This window comes from Homo sapiens, chromosome 7 (assembly GCF_000001405.40).
Source record: "Homo sapiens chromosome 7, GRCh38.p14 Primary Assembly".
NCBI lineage: Eukaryota > Metazoa > Chordata > Mammalia > Primates > Hominidae > Homo > Homo sapiens.
Window position 1 is genome coordinate 120,357,194 of NC_000007.14, and position 17,158 is coordinate 120,374,351.

The 17,158-nt window shown below is 35.8% G+C and overlaps 1 protein-coding gene across 2 annotated transcripts in view, besides 1 other annotated feature; it reads left to right on the forward strand.

The window, feature by feature from the left end:
- The window catches only part of KCND2 (potassium voltage-gated channel subfamily D member 2), a 477,430-nt gene that overhangs the window by 84,286 nt on the left and 375,986 nt on the right, over nucleotides 1–17,158 (forward strand). The gene's annotated exons all lie outside the window — the stretch shown is intronic.
- Nucleotides 9,414–9,583: an enhancer, noted in NCBI's record as "active region_26552". NCBI's record gives its function as "activates an Ori minimal core promoter by ATAC-STARR-seq in GM12878 lymphoblastoid cells {active_cell/tissue: GM12878}" and the evidence as "EXISTENCE:reporter gene assay evidence [ECO:0000049][PMID:35858748]".

The window sequence follows — 17,158 nt, forward strand, 5'->3', positions numbered from 1 at the left end:
TCAGTGCTTAAGCCTCTTTCACCTCTAATAATATTGAAAAGTAAATGTTATTATCCAAATTTTTAAATGATGAAACTGAAGACCAATATATACAGTTACTAATTGAAGGAGCCAGGATTCAAATTCAGGATTTTATGACTCCCAAGTCAAAATTATTTTCATTACAATGTGCTTTTCCTGTTTTATACTGGTATTTTAAGTGATTTTTACCCTCCTATCCCATCAGTAGTTTAAATCTTCCTAAAGAATACTTTCGTCTATAAGAATTTGAATTTATTTGTTTATTTATGTATACCTACATGCAATAATCTTATGTTATTGCAATAAATAAACTATTCCTAGCATTGTAAGAGATTTTTAGAAATTAGGTAATTTTGATTCATGCACTCCAGAGGATCAGAGTCAAAGAAGGAAGAAAAGATCATTATTTACTAAATACAGGCAGTATATTATTTTGCCAGGCCTGCCATAACAAACCAGATGACTTAAACAAAAAAAAAAAATTATTTCTCACAGTTCTGGAGGCTGGAAGTCCAAGATCAAAGCACCAGCTGGTTTGGTTTCTCCTGAGGCCTCTCTGCTTTCAGACAGTCCTAAGTATACTGATGGTGCCTCTGTCTCCTCTTATAAGGATATGAGTTCTGTTGGATTATGGACCCACCTTTATAACTTCATTTGACTTTAATTATCTCTTTAAAGGACCTATCTCTCAATACAGCCACATCGGGGGTTGCAGCTTCATCATATGAAGTTTGGAGGGACACAGTTCAGTCTGTAATTGACAGCAAGTATAATCATTGTCTTCAGTGAGTTTTGAAGGTATTATGGGTGTTCAGAAAATTGGAGTATGGTGGAGGTGAGGTGATTCTGATAACATGCTGGAACAAAAGGAGATATAAACTAGAATTTGATGGATGGGTATGGTGTGAAAAAACTGACACAGAGACAGAATATTCTGATAGAAATTAACTACAAGAGCAAAAATACTTATTAGGAATTAGCAAGGTGTGTATAACAGGTGAATAAGATGTGTCAGTACAGATGGTGATGACCTTGAAAAATCCTCTCGAAGTTGTCATTAGGATGCTCCTTGTGGTTAGAATTATTTTTCTCTCTCCTTTTTTACTCATAGGTAAGTCTAACAGAGATTTAGGGGTTTTGTTTTTATTTTCAATGCATAAATCTGCATTGGATTGATGTGAAACTAAAATGATCTGTTGGTGGTACATGGGATAAGCAGTCATCATTGTCTCTTGCACTGAATTCAAACTTTTCAGATTTTGGTGCTTTAATGACTTCAATTTAAGGTTTCCTTTTTTTTTGTCTAATCAGTTTTCTTTCTTTCTCCTGACATGAATCTTGTGTTTTTAATCAGCTTAATATCAGCAATATTGCTGATACTGCTAATGTACAGAAAATACCTAAGTCTACCCTGATGCACTTGCTCATCAATTTCTCTTGCCCGAAAATCTCTACCTAATTTCCCTTTGTGAATGCAGTTGTTTTGTTAAGGCTACCTTCAAACCCAACTACTGCAGAAGTCAGCCTTGCCTAAGGTTTGTAACCAGTGAATTTCGAACTATGTGCAGGCTGTACTCTTCTGTAAAGTATTTGATAATATGCTATCTTGTACAAATCTCTGGATATTTCATACAAGTAAGTTATGTTTTCACAACTATATGCAAATATTTTCTTTTTTTACTACCTACATTGCTTAGCATTGCATTGTGCACAAAATGCATACATTGTAAACTTAATATTGACTCTAACAGCAGAAGCTGTTCTGTGGCATAGGTCAGATACTTTAAAATAGAGAGAAAGAGAAACCCTTACAGGCCACAGGTGGCATTCGTTGATCTTTATAGTGTGACCCTTCCTATTGTGCTTTATTTTGGATTGATATTAATGGTATTTTACAAACTGGAATAAGTCAGGTTAGCATGTTCAGTGCTTCATATAAGGAAAAAGATTGAGCTCTGTATGAAGCCTACCTTTTAAATGGCCATTTTTGGAAAGATTTTGTGCTCTGTGCACAATTTTTTTCTTCATTCTCTTGCCAAAGAAGGCACCCTTCCTCTCTTCATAACAAAACTTATTCTGTATATGTAATAAAGATAATACATGTGAGGAAGGAAATTGTTATAAATTTGCCTCTCTGATGGCCTTTGACCTTTTCATTATAGCATGACTTGGACCACCACCGATATGGGTTGCAAAATGGGTGACATCTCCAAACATTTAAGATAAGACTTTATAATATGGTAAGATCTTATGTGTCCTTGCAATGTTTAATACATGTACAATTTGAAAAAATCTCATGTTACATCTATTTTGTATAAATGGTAATGTAAATGTAGTTCCTCGTTATTCCCTTATCTTTTCCGAAAGAGGAATTACCAACTATAAATTAAGAAGGTAGACTGTAAGAACTTCTTTTGATAATAAAAAATACTTAATATGGGAAAAGTTTCTGCATCAAAAAGCTTTTGAGCAGGGGATCTGATATAGTTGGGCTCTGTGTCCCCACCCAAATTTCATTTTGAATTGTAATCCCCATAATCCCCATGTCGAAGGAGGGACCAGAAGGGAGGTGATTGGATCATGGGGGTGGTTCCCTGATGCTGTTCTCGTGATAGTGAGTGAGTTCTCATGAGATCTGAGGGTTTTATAAGGCAGTTTTCCCTGCTCTTGCTCACTCTCTCTCATCTGCCACCATGTAAGCCGTGCCTGCTTCCTCTTCTGCCATGATTGTAAGTTTCCTGAGGACTGCTCAGCAATAAAACTGTGAGTCAATTAAACCTCTTTTCTTTATAAATTACTCAATCTCAGTTTTGTCTTTATAGGAGTGTGAGAATGGACTAATACAAGATCTAAGTGTGAAAATTATTTAATATAGCTTTTTCTTTTGGAGGCAGTATAACTCTCCATGCAAAATTCTGGTTAGGCTGCTAAGAATAATGCTGATTATTACTATCATCAGCTCATTTTCACTAAAAATTAATTCAATACATATAATTTACTGAACTTTATTATCACCGAGTGCTCTTATAGGTTTTGCAGGGAAAGGGCACAAAGGTACATGTCTTGATATCAAGGAGCCTTAAAAGGTTATCCTTTGGTTTTATAACTTTTCTGACCAAAAATTTCCAGTGATATCCTAATATTGATTTGGTTTATCAAAGCCTATCTTTGATCTCTATCTGCCCTTTCTTCATCTTGTTGCATATGCCATGCTCTTATCACATCATATTTTGCCTCAATGTTTGATCTGGAGGCTTTGGAAAGACTATCCATTTTAAAAACTGCCAAATTTAACAGGATATACTTAAAGTCTGTAAAAAGATTAAGCCTTTGTGCCAGTACTCTGTGGCTCTGTAATACTTACTTTGAAAGTAGACTGAGTAGTCTAAATAAATTTTTAATTAAGCATCTGATTTAGATAATTTGGGACAGAGCAAAGTTGTATTTTGGGTATTTTTCTTCCCTGTCATTGACACTTTTAAACATATTTTCACTAAAAATATGTGATTTGGCTCTTCTTAATCTTGACGCCAGTGTTACATACTTTTCAATTTAAACACACCAAAACTAAAACTTTAGATATAAGAAAACAATGGATGGAAATGCATAGCTTCCAAAAATGGAAATAGACTTTTACTTATTTACTTCATCAGAGACTTGATATCATTTTTGTTTTTCTTTTTCTACTTTGTGCTATTTATGAGCATAATCTGTAAGCAACAGGTTACATTCTTTTAAAATACTTTTGCAGGCAATATAGTATATATTTGTTTAAATGAAATTCATTTCAGCTCAAATACTCATCTTTTCTCTGTACACACACATATGATAAGACTTTCAGTACTGGTCCTTGTGGCTTGTCAATGTAGCTCTATACAAGGGTGGTGATTTTTACAAAATCCCCAAAGTAGTACCTCTGTTTTGACTGTCACAGAAGCCTTTAGTTTGGCAGGAAACAGATTACCATGTAAGCCAAGTGTGAAATGCCTAACCTTAACCTTGAAAAAAAGGGGCTGCTTAGTAAGTTCTCTTTAGCTTGTTCTAACCTAAAAATTCTCCTTTCTAGTTCTGAAGCAAAAAAGATCTGTTTCCCACTCATTTTTATAAGCAGAGCTCAGTCCTTAGGAAGAATTTCTTGTTTCATTCTTGGAAATGGGACAAGTTCTCTCTCGCTCTCTCTCTCTCTTTTTTTTTTTTCCTAATGAGATAAAGCTTAGAAATAAAACATAAGTCAATTTCTCAGTAGATTATCTGCCTACATTAAATTTTCAATAAATCACCTTCCTGTGCTTAGAAGGGCAATTTGTAAAAGCCATTTATTTGAGGATGGAGAGTTGGGATTTGAAGCATTCAGGGCAGGTGAGAAGAATGAGCAACAGCATCATATGGTGAGTGAGTTGCATGTTAAGCATGTTGTGAGAAAAGGAGAAGGCCATGATAGAACTTTGAAAAGCAGAAAGGCGAAGGCAGAGTGTTTAAATGTACAGCTTCAAAAATTTTACATATTGATTTGCTATTAAATATAATCACCATTAATCCCTATTTGACTCATTAATGTAATGAGAGAACGTGGTTGAAAGTAGGTTCCAAAGTAAGTTCTAATTCTATTTAAAGTTTATTGTAAAGCTAAATATTTAATTACCATAAAGAAGTCCAGGCTATTTCTGTACTGTCAGAACTGAATAGAAGGATTTACAGCTCCCCATGAATCTGGTGCCTTTTCTGTGGATCCAATAAACATCAATGGTTTTGGGAGAATTTTCTGAAGAAGATACAGAAAGAAAGCTAAAAAATTATAACCAAATCCATAATCTTTCATTTTCTATAGCTAGGAAGTTATAATTAAAGCTATTTCACCTTACCTACCTGGGCGAGATTGCATCTCTCATTTGATTGCAAGCCTTTCCATATGAAATTACAGCTAAGTCTGTAGTAGAAGAAAGAGCTGCTGCAAAATCTTAAAGAATGTTTTTCTAAATTTTTATTGTCCGTTACCCTCTCCATAAATAATTTTTGGAACTCTTGTAATGTCATCATTTTTATATAGCCCAACTCTACTCATGTAAATGGCTTTTGAAGTAAAAAGTTTCTCTGGTTTAAATCTGAGACTATCTTACTGGTGTAAATAATCTATCTGCTTGACATTTTATAAGCCGTCGTATTCATCTTGAGTTTAACTGAAGGTCTCCAAAGACATCTAATTAGGAAAGGAAGGAAAAGACAAAGTTTTGTTTTCAAGGCCAGGACAGTGGTGACCCTATGCTAAAAGTCTGGCATTTAATTGTATTTCCAAGTAAAAATATGTAAATAGAATGTGAATGTTGCAGTGTATGAATTATAGCAAAAGCAGGAAATCAGCTGAGAGGCAGCATGCTCTAACAGCTTACAGGAGCTCTGGGTTCTAGCTCGAGCTCTGTAATAACTAGATGACTGACCTTTTGAAAGTCATTTATCCTTGGGCTTCAGCTTTCTCAAGTATAAAATAAGAGGTTGCTGTAGATTCTGCCTAAGATTCTTAAAAGTCTGTAATTCTGTGACATAGGCTATACTTTATGGCTTCCTTCTAGCATCCGTTCAACAATGAAATATATTTTATCTTTGGCAATTTTTCAATATATTTTCTGTTTTTCCGTTGACCACCTCTATAGGTTGGATGCAGGGTGAACAGAACCAGGAAGGTCCAAGCAGAGTATTTTCCCTAGGAAAGTATTAATTGGGAGGTAGGAGTATAGCTGGAGAAAGGGGAAGGAGAGAAGAGAGTGATAATGTCTTTTAGAGTGACTCTTGTATAAACCCTTGGAAGTCAGGCAGGGTGTCGTGGCTCACATCTGTAATTTCAGCTTTGGGAGGTCGACATGGGAGGATCACTTGAGCTCAGGAGTTTAAGACTAGCCTGGGAAACACTGTGAGACCTTGTCTCTACAAAAATATGTTAGCCAGGTATGGTGGTGCATGCCTGTAGTCATAGCTACTCGGGTGGCTGAGGAAAGAGGGTGACTTGAGCCTGCAATGTAGAAGTTGTAATGAGCTTTTATTGTGTCACTGCACTTTGGCCCTTGAGCCTGGATGACAGAGCAAGATCCCATCTATATATATATATCTCCTTGGATGTCTAAGAATCTCTCAAACCACATATGCCCAAAACTAAATTTCTGATATTCCTCATAAAATCTCCTCTAACCACATTTTAGCAATATTAGGGAATAGAAACCCTATCCTTCCAATTTCCAGGAGAAACACCTTGCAGTTATCCTTGATTCCAAGCTCTTTCTCTGATACCTCATGTAATCTATGGCATTATGTTTCAAATGATGTATCCAGAGAGCAACCACTTCTCCTTGCTTCCACACTGGTCAGCTATTTTGATCTCTCATCTGCTATTACACTAGTTGCCTAACTTGTGTCTCTGCTCAACCCTTGCTCCTCTTGAACTGCCAAAGTGATTCTGTCATACCTAATTTTGATCATGTATGTTACCTCTCTAAGGACCTTGTGATAGCTTCCAGTTTTACAGAGAATAAAAGTCAAACTCTTTACAGTAGTCAACATTAGCCCTCCCTGATCTTCTCCTACCCTTACACTCTTATCTGACATCACCTTATCTTTCTGTTCCTCTGATAGATCTCCTCCAGCTGTTTCTGTTGCTCACTCTGCCCTTCTCACTGGCATTCTTATTGCTTTTCTTATTCCTGGAACACAGGAGAGGCCTCTGCACTCAGATGCCTTTGCCTAGAACACTTTTGCCCAGATACTCACTTGGCTTAATCTCATCCTTTAAGTGTCTGGTTTGCCACTCTGTTTAATCCTCCACCTTTGTCTGTTTTGTTTACTGATGCATCCCAAGCACCTAAAACAGTGCCTGGCACATAAGAGATACTCAGTAAATATTTGTTGAATGTATTGTTCTTAGATTTTATATTTCTACCACTTTGAGTTGACTTACTTTCACAATTTCTAATCTCATCTTCATGTATCTGGTTTATGAATTTAACACTGACATCAATTTTGTACTTTGTTTTAGGGCCAAGTTCTCTGGGGGGAACCCCACCATTTCCCTCTGTGTCATCAACCATACTATCCTAAGTGCTCTCCAGAAAGAAGGCTGGTTTAGTAAATGGAAGTATTTTTGGTACTATTAACTCCAGAGAAAAGCAGTGGGAAGGATACTAGGTCAATTTTCAAAGCAAAACCATTCACAGACTAGGAGGCATAATTTATGGACATAATAAGCTGGGACAATGACAGGAGGATTATTGAAGATAAAATATCCAGTGGTACTTGGTAAAACACAATAGGGAATACTTTATTTAGGATTAATGCAATAGGTATAGGGAATGCAAGGTTTTGCAATGGGGGAGAGAAATTGGACTCAGCTCCCAATACAGCATGGGCAACTGGGAATTTATAGGAAAAGAGCGGGGTAGAGGTCATTGGACAGACATTATCTAAGAGGAAACATCAAGGGTAAGGAGGATTCTGGCTAAACTGACCCCACGGTATTTTTGCTGAAGACAGGCCAGCATGATCAAACATCACCTGGGGAGTGGTAGAGGATGAGGAACCTAATCAGACATCAAAGATGATCAGATATTGAGGATGGGGGTTTCTTGCCCGTCAGACTTAGCAGGGTTATTTGCTAAAACTGTATTTGACAAAGAATTGCACAGATGGGCCTAGGAGAAAATTCAGAAGCCTAACTAAAGTTTGGCCCAGCAAACGATTTTGTAAGGAGCAAAAAGATTATAAGAAACAAAATAGAAAAGTTATCCATTGTAAAAAGAAAAATGTTAAAATACAAAATTGATATTGTAGACAGGTATAAACATGCATTTAAAGACATTAATAACAAGATGGTGAGTATGTGAGAAAGCCAAGGTAAAGTTCATAGTTGTTATTTATTTCTTCGTATTTTGCTTTGAGATGAAATTAAGGAAGGGAAAATGGAGGGTGGGAGGGAGCAAAGAGAGGAAGGAAGGAAGGGAGGAAAGAAGGAAGGAAGGGAGGGAGGGAGGGAGGGAGGCAGGGAGGGAGGGACGGGCGAGCTAATTCAGGGATACTAATTGATGAAGCCTGCTTTTGAGATGTCTCCTGAGCCGAAGTGTCATTTGTAGGTATGGACAGCAAGAATGCAAGGTTAGGCAGAAAGTTAAGACCAAGGATCATGTCAGACAGTAGCAATCTAGCAGGTTTTTTACTGGGTCAGGACCTGAGGAACTAAGAAGGCTGTAAGGCCATGTATACATAGGTCAGTGTATCAGCAAGAGCTCCGTTTTCTCTTTTCAGTCCCTATTCAGGGAGGACAGAAGAGGCAGAAATGTATTTATGTTTATTACAGCCAATGGTTTAGTCAATGCCCTGAACAAGCCTGCGTGCCCCTGATTAAGGTAAGGGCAGAGGTGCTGGACCTATGGGGAATGAATGCAGAAATAAGAAAATATTGAGATGTCAATCGTACAATTACTAAATACTTTTTGACGTGCATGGTTAAGGTTATAGGAAAGAAGGAAACTGAAAGATGCACCTACAGGAAAAGATAAATGAGATTTTCGAGCAAAATGTACATGTTCTAAATAGAAGCTCTATGGATAGTGTTAATGTAAAGTTCTATAAGTAAGTGAAATGGATGTTCAGGTAAGTAATTAAAACAACATAAATATAACTGAAAAATGTTGAAACTGTACAATTTACATAAGAATAAAATGAGATATTTAATAGACATTTAAAAATATTATTACAAACTTTAGTTAAAATGTTCAGATTGAGAAAAAACTTTGAGGGGGTGGATAACTGTGCCCTTTATCAGCAATTTTAGACAATTGTTAATTATAGTAGAGATGATTCCAGTTAGTAAACAGCATTGTGGTGAATCACAGAGTCCCATGAAAAGTAAGCTTTATCTTGATAGAAGAGAGTCATTGAGTTATGATAACTAAATACAAGCAGGGTAGTGTGTATAGGAAACATTAAGCTAAGAGTTAAAGAAATTTTGGCTGGGCACAGTGGCTTACACCTGTAACACCAGCACTTTGGGAGTCCAAGGCAGACATATCACTTGAGGTGAGGAGTTCGAGACCAGCTTGGCCAACATGGTGAAACCCTGTCTCTATTGAAAATACAAAAAATAGCTGGACGTGGTGGCGCATGCCTGTATTCTCAGCTGCTACTTGGGAGGCTGAGGTGGGAGAATTTCTTGAACCTGGGAGGCGGAGGTTGCAGTGAGCTGAGATTGTGCCACTGCACTCCAGCTTGGGTGACAGAGCAAGACTCCATTAAAAAAAAAAAAAAAGGGAGGGAGGGAGGAAGGAAGGAAGGAAGGAGAGAGGGAGGAAAGAAAAGAAAAGAAAAGAAAAAAGAAAAGAGAAGAAAGAAACTTTTTTCTCCCAAGTTCTCAGTGGAATAGATTCTCTATATGGTGCTGCTCCCCGCGTTCCTGCTGGAACCCAACATGTGACAGAACAATGCTCTGTGGTCAGAAAACAACTGTCCTAAAAAGCAGCACACCAGTTTCGTTCTAACTTTCTCACAGCTACCTGAACATTGTCTATTCATTTGTTAAAAGAACAGATTGGACCAAATTATTTCTAAAATCCGAATCTCTGTCATTACTATGTGACCTTGGGTGTAATACCAACTTTTGTGTCACTTTTCCTCATCTGTTAAATTGTTAAGTGGGATAATAGTTGTTGACCTTATCTATCCATTCCTTTCTTCCTCCCTCCCTTTCTCCCTTCTTTACTTCCTAGAATCAAATTAGATAATATACATGAGAGCACTTTAAAACTTAAAAATTTGGTGTGTAACCACAGGCGTAGTTACAGTATCTAAGGGGGTGTAGGTTTGCCGCTATTGCATGCATATTATGTGCCAAGCCCATTGCTATGTCTTTATGATACATTATCCTTCCCAGATTTACATAAGGTGGTTGTCATACACCTGCTACAGACAAGAAACCTGGAATCCATGGGAGTAAAGGAACTTGTTTAAGGACAAAAGACAAATAGAAGAATTTAGGGTTTGAACCCAGGTCTGCCTAATTATTTTCTGTGGTTTTAAGAGAAGCAGTTATGAAGCGAAGCAAAATGATCTATGTATGAGGTTGTTTTCCTGTTGTGTTCTGAGAAAAAGTAATGCTGACTCTTCTGTTTCCTTTAAAAAAAGACAAAAAGGGTCTGACTAGCTGCCTCTATGGTTTAGAACCAGGAGATAATTTTGAGAACAGTATTCCTTTTCCCTTATTATATTTGCATTATTACAATATCTCATCACTAGAACCTGAAGTTTTAATAAGGCTCGTAAAGTAGGTGTTGAGGAGGGAGTGCCTCTATGGGAAATTTCAGAAAATCCATAGTTAAAAAAAAAAAAGAAAGATAATTTAAACAGGCCCTCTTCCAAACAAGAACTTCTATGGTTAACATCTTTTCTTTTTCTTTTTTTTTTTAATGAAGGAGGGATTTATTGCAAAATTTTAGAAATGTTATTCTCATTACTAAATAGCTATGGGTTTGCTTCTCAGAAGAAAGCCAGGAGATTCAGCTTGTAGTGTCAATTAGTTTCAGAAACTAGTGACCAGTTACTTTTATAATCATTTTCAAAAGGAGCAAGTAGCAGTGAGGACACAGCTGATAATAGCTAAATATTTCGTTTTCATTGTCCTATCAAGGTGACTAGGGAAGGACTGCATTCTTCCTGACAAATATCTGCTTTACAGGTTTAAGTTCCTTTGGGATCTTTGTTGCCAGAGTGTAAAAGGCCTGGGATAGTTGTTTTATTTGATACTAATTCAGCCCGGCAAGCCGTAACCAGGAGTGTCACATCTAAATGCCTGGACACACTGCTCATCTTTTCTCTGTGATTGGTCTCAGATTATAGTACTGTGTCAAGGTTCATTCGATCCGAAGCATTTCAGCATCAGCTTTTACTTCTCCCTGGCTTCAATGAAAGAAATTTCTGTGATGTAAAGATTGAGGATTTCTTAGCCATTAATAATTTTATTTATATTACTCTTCAGATTCTTCTGGCGGATCCAGTGATAATTTTTCTTCTTAGTGGTGAAACTGCTAATTGCTAGTTGAGGATAAGATGGAGAGTTTTTATTTTTAATGTAAGTTTCTTGGGTTTTAAGGTATTTCTTGACAGTTTAAGTATTTTTTTGTATGGAAGCCCAACTACTACCCTGAAAAAATAAAAAAAATAAAAAATAAAAAACTAATCCATGTATCCTTTGTATAAATTTTAAAAATCGATTAAATTGCTTCTTAGTAAACATGGGAATGACCAATCATCTTTTTCATTCTAAAAGTGACTTTTCTCTACCAATGGAAATCTGATTGTAAGTTAAAAAATATTTGAGAGCATTTTTATTTAGAATACAATTTGCAAATTTAGCCTATACTAAGTGCGTAAGCTCTCCATACATTTCATTTAAATTTGCAGGAGTATTCCTTTTTACTAATTCTCCTTTATCATTTTCAGTTTGGTTGATAATATGAAGATGTTTATAGGAAATTTGACTATAAGCCAAATCTCTTGGAAATAATTATTGTCATCCATAAAGAATTAAAAGGTTGAAATGTGAAGAAGACTGTAATAAAGACATATAAGGATTTCATGTAGGATAAAGGACAGAATTAAATTAAATATGGCAGTGAGGAGAAGTTAAACCACTGTGTTTTACTTCAAACATTTTTACTTAATCAGATTTCAGTTATTCATTGTCCTTCAAGATTAGGTTTTCTGTGGATAACCTGCAGCTGCTCATTTGCCAAACTAAGCTGGAGCTACTGTTTGTTCACACCAGAGTTTGTTAATGGTTGTTGTAGTAGAGATGGTATTTGGTGTTGTTTTTGTTATCTTTGATCCTTCTTTGATAAATGTACATGAGTTAGAGTTTGAAAGTTAACAATTTTGGTGGGTTGAGATTTTTTTTTTTAAATAGAAAGTTTTGACAAGCATAAAAGTTTCAAATTAATATTTTTTAGGATCATCTCAAAGTGTCAAAATGTGCAACAATCAGCTTTGTTGTCCTAAAAAAAGAAATCTGCAAACCGTGTGGTTAATTAGGTACCTCTTATATTTTGCTTCAGTTTATTTTCAACTCTAAGTTAAAAAGATGTCCCATCAGTGACTGGTTTTATAAGAAAAAAGATACTATTTTAATCTTCAAAAAACAACAGCTTGCGGGGGTCAATCTTTTAAAGTACATGCTTCACTGGTTGCAATTATTAATCAGTTTCCTTCAGGAAATATATGAAATTAAATATTAAAGTACAGATCTAAACAAAGCCGCAGTCTCAGGGCTTCTGAGGGCATGATTTCCTTATTAGCTTGAAATAGCTGACCTTCCTCAATCCAGATGTAGAGTCTGCATGAATATGAAATCCCTCATTTTATCTGTGTACTTCATCATTTGGGCTTTATTTACATTTTGGCACTTTATTTCTTTTAATAGGCACTGTTTCTTAGATGTTAACTTTCCATAATGGCATTGTTAACTGCTAACCAGTTTTGTTTATTAAAAAGAAGCTTTCACAGTATGCTCAAGTTTGTTCATTCACTCAGACAACAATATTTATTTACCACCTGTTATGTACCAGGCAGTACCTAGTTACTTGGAATCAATGAACAAAAGAAGAACGCTTTCCTCATAAAGCTTGCATTTTTGTGGCAGATAGAAGATAATCATGAACTTATACATATATCACATTACATACTATGTTAAACGGTAAGTACTGTGACAAAAATGAAAAAGCAAATGTAGATGTGAGTCATAGGGGCCAGAGTATATATGGTGGATGGGGAAGAGACTTGCAATGAAAACAAAACAACACAAAAGGATGGTCTGTTTGCCTTCCTATGAAGATGACATGTGGATAAAGATGTGAAGAAGGTGAGGAACTTGGCAGTGGGGATTCCTGAAAGAAGATCATTCCAGGCAGAGGACTGAGCTAGAGCAATGGTCCTAAAGTAAAAGCATTTCCTGGAGTGTTTAAGGACAAACTGAGCAGGGAGAATAGCTCCCTGGAGTATAAAGTAAGCAGAGGAGGAATAGCAAGAGAGGAAATCAGAAAGGGACAGGGGAGGCGTGGCCAGATGCAGATCCTGGAGGGCACAATTGGCTGATGTTCTTACACTGAGATAAATGGGAAGCTACTGCAAAGTTTTGGGCATAAGTGATGTCTTCTGACTTATTTGCAATCAGGACGCATTTTGAATGTAGAGTCAACAGAATTTTCTAATGGATTAGTATTGAATTCAGACAGACACAAAAGTACATGTGTTACCTACAGAAGCCATGGACACCTTGGCAAATAACATTCATAGCAAATAATAATAGTGATATTAATGGTAAATAATGACATCCATATTATTGCCATTGCCAGATACTCTCTATTTTACATGAGAGAGTAAACACTCAAAACATCCTGTAAAGGATTAGTTATTATTATTCTCATTTTACAAAAGAAGCTGCAAAGCACAGAAAAATCAGTTCCTTGTCCAAGATAACAGCGGAAAAGGGACAGAGTTGGATTTAAATCTTGGTGTTAGAGAATATGTGCTCATAATCTGTACTGTTCATATTTTGAAACAAAGATTATACCAGAGCTCCAAACAGGGAAAGGTAACAAATACCTCTTATTTAGAATCAATTTTCTTTTGCTTCTTTACAAGGAAAAAAATAACAGAGCTGGTAAGTGTTGACAGTGCTGAAGGTGAGTGATTTTATTACTCCAGATAGGTTAGCTTATGCTGTGGGAACAACCAGTCTGTCAACAGAGGTTTATTTCTCCCTAGTTGCAGCTCTGCTTCTTACTGCCTTCATTTTGGACCTCAGGCCACTGAAGCAGTCCTTGTCTTGGGACATGTCTCTATCGTAATTGATGGGAGAGAGAACATGCCACACCGTACACTTCCTCTTTAATCTTCTATCTGTAGACAGAATGTGCCTCTGCCCACCTTTCATTGGCCAAAGCAAGTCATGTGACCATCCCTGAGTTCAGCAGAGCCTTGCTATATACATGTCCCACAGACAGGCCCCACAGAGAGGGAAATGAAATAATTTCTGAGTAGATTCTGATCTACCACAGGGGCACTGCCTTATTTTTAATCATGCTTACATACTTTGCAGCTGCTAATCTGCTGACATTTTCCAAAGGTGGCAAGTACTATAAAGAAAAGATAAAACACAGTTAATGTATTTCTTGGACTGGAAGAATTCTTAGACTATCTAAACCAGTGCCTAGGCAGAGAACCCTTGTGAGGAAATTTGATTGATAAGTTTCCTGATTGAGGCCATGGAGTTGAGTGGGAGGGAGGCTTCTGTGGATTTTTCTCAACAAGTTGATTTTAAGATTCCATAAGACCCTTTCTTCACATTCACTCAATGTTCACTCACTGATTCACCCAGAGCAACTTCCGGTTCTGCAGGTTCCATTCATGGTAGATATTTTATACAGGTGTACTTTGTCTTTTATGCTTTATTTTTACTGCATTTTTTATATTTAGAGACATAAATACTTACTATTCTACTACAACTCCTACAGTATTCTGTAGAGTAACATGCTATATAGGTTTGTAGCCTAGGAGCAATAGGCTATACCATACAGCCTAGGTGTCTAGTAGGCTACAAACTCTATGTTTGTGTATGTACAGTACACTCCAGGAATGTTCACACAATGGCAAAATTACATAACAACACATTTCTCAGAACGTATCCCTGGTGTTAAGCAACATATAACCGTGTATACCACCTTTTCTTTATCTCTTCATGTGATGAGGACACTTAGGTTGATTGCATATCCTTGCCATTTTCAATAATGCTGCCACAAACATAGGAGTGCAGATACCTGTTGGACATACTGATTTTATTCTTTTTGGTTATCTACCCAGTAGTGGGATTGCTGATTCTTTGGTATTGTTTTAGATATAAGGTATAAGATCTGTGACAGAAATTTTCTTGAGATTTAGGATAATTTGATGATACTCTTATAAGTGTAATTTACTCTCTTTCTTCAAGTACTGTTTTGCTAGAGATTCTCCAGTGTGCAAGGCATTCACTCGAATTTCTCTTTAAACTCCATTCCTCGACACTGCTCCACTTCTCTTATAGATCTAGAAGTGGTATAAATCAAGTTGATCTGAAAATGAAAAAAAAATGCAGAATTCTCTCATAAACGGTTTCAAAATTTAATATTACAGCTGTTAGTTCACTGGGCAATGAGCAAAGTTTGCTTTTTTAAAAATCTGAATTCATTTTATTTACTCTGCAAATAATTTACTTCAATACATTTAAAAACTCAAGTTTTGTTTTGTTTTTGATTTTAAAGACAAAAACATTCTCATAGTTTTCAGACCTAGAAAAACAAACTTTGTATTGTATTGTAATGATTTTCAGTTTTTTATAAAGAACTACCTGTTTTATTAAATTGTAGGCCCTTTATGTAACAAATCTCCTTTCTTTTCCTTTATTTGAAATGATAACTCTAGAACTTTCACACAAATAATCAAAACTGTGAATAGAAATTCGTCTTTTTGTTTAACTATGAACTTCTTTCTTACCTGATAGGTTTCTTTTTCCAAAGAGGAACAGGACTGCTAAATTTAGTACTGTCAAATACTCCAGGATCAAAGCTCTCTGCTAAGTCCCCAGAATGGAATAGCTGCCACCAGCCTTTCAACTACAAGTCTTTATGAATCTGGACTTTTTGGACTGAAGTTAGTCTGTGAATTGAATTTCCTTTATAAAGTTTTACTTCGGATTTGTGCCCTTAGCTTCATTTCCCCTCAGGGATCCTTTAACTTCACGAGAATATTCTCTGGAAAATGATACCTTTCAGTGACTTGTGCCTGAGTCCTCTCAGAATGTTCCTATTCATTGCCAATGCTCCAAGACTTCCTAGTGTAATTCATTATTAAATTCAGGATATAACTTATTTAATTTTTATAGGGATTATTTATATCCTGGCATTTCCTCATCTTGTTGCTTTCCTCTGATCTAAGGCTAGATTTTTGAATATAGTATTGATTTACTTCATTTTTCTTCCATAAATAAGGTAGTAGAATACAATAATCTTCTCTCTTTGGTAGCTAGAGAACAGAGCCTGCCCCTAGGCCCTGCTGCTATTTCTTACTGGTATAAACTGGCACAATACAATCCAGAATAGCCAGTGTACATTCATCATATCACATTGGAAAGCAGGAAACTATAAGAAGTGATTCATATGCAAATCTGAAAAGCTCTTTTCCTACTCCTTAGAAATGACTTAGCTTTAAATTGCTCCTCATTTATGAGAATAATAATGAACTTAATTGTTCTTCTGGAATATCTGTGCTGTTGTAAGGAGGAACCTTCCATACTTTTAGGACGCATCCAAGAGCTATCTCCACACTGGGAAGAAAGCGATCATCAGTGTGAACACTTAAATCCTTAGATATCTAATACCTTTATAACTTGAATGTATAGACCCATGGATAGACCTGCCAGTAGACATAGACAAAATTAAAATGTTCATGTTAATGAAACTTGTTTGGCTTTTTCTTTAAAAATTTATTTTGTGTATGGAGGAGAGTATTAAATTTGAGAAAATTTGCTGACAGATTTTTCCTACTCACTATTGAAGAATTAAGACAGTACCATTCAAATTACACAGCTTTGAAGTTTATCTGTTTCCATTATGAATTTTTAAAAAAGATTTGAAATTACATGAAAATTAAATATAGATAGTAATTATATATTCTATCGCATTTGGGGCTATTTAATAAATCCAGAAATATAAGCAATTAAGATAGTTGATCCTACTGCTAGCTTATTTATATTTTAAAAAGTTGCTTTCATAATTACCATATTTTTTGAAAGTGCAGATTGAAAGTAATTCAAAAGGTGGCCTACAATTCCCTATTCCAGTAGGTTTTTATCTTATTTTGTCTATGTTGAAAAGAAACCTATTTTTAACTTGGAATTACATTATTATATTTTGATTAAATGTAATTTTTGGTACTTATTCACATGATTTTCATACTATTTTTAACTCTTAAAAAATTCTAATGCTTATGACAATTTTTACCTCATAGTAGATATTCAAGTCCGAAAGTTATGGATTTGTAACCACTCAGTTAAAACTTTTGTATTTTAAAGAAACAT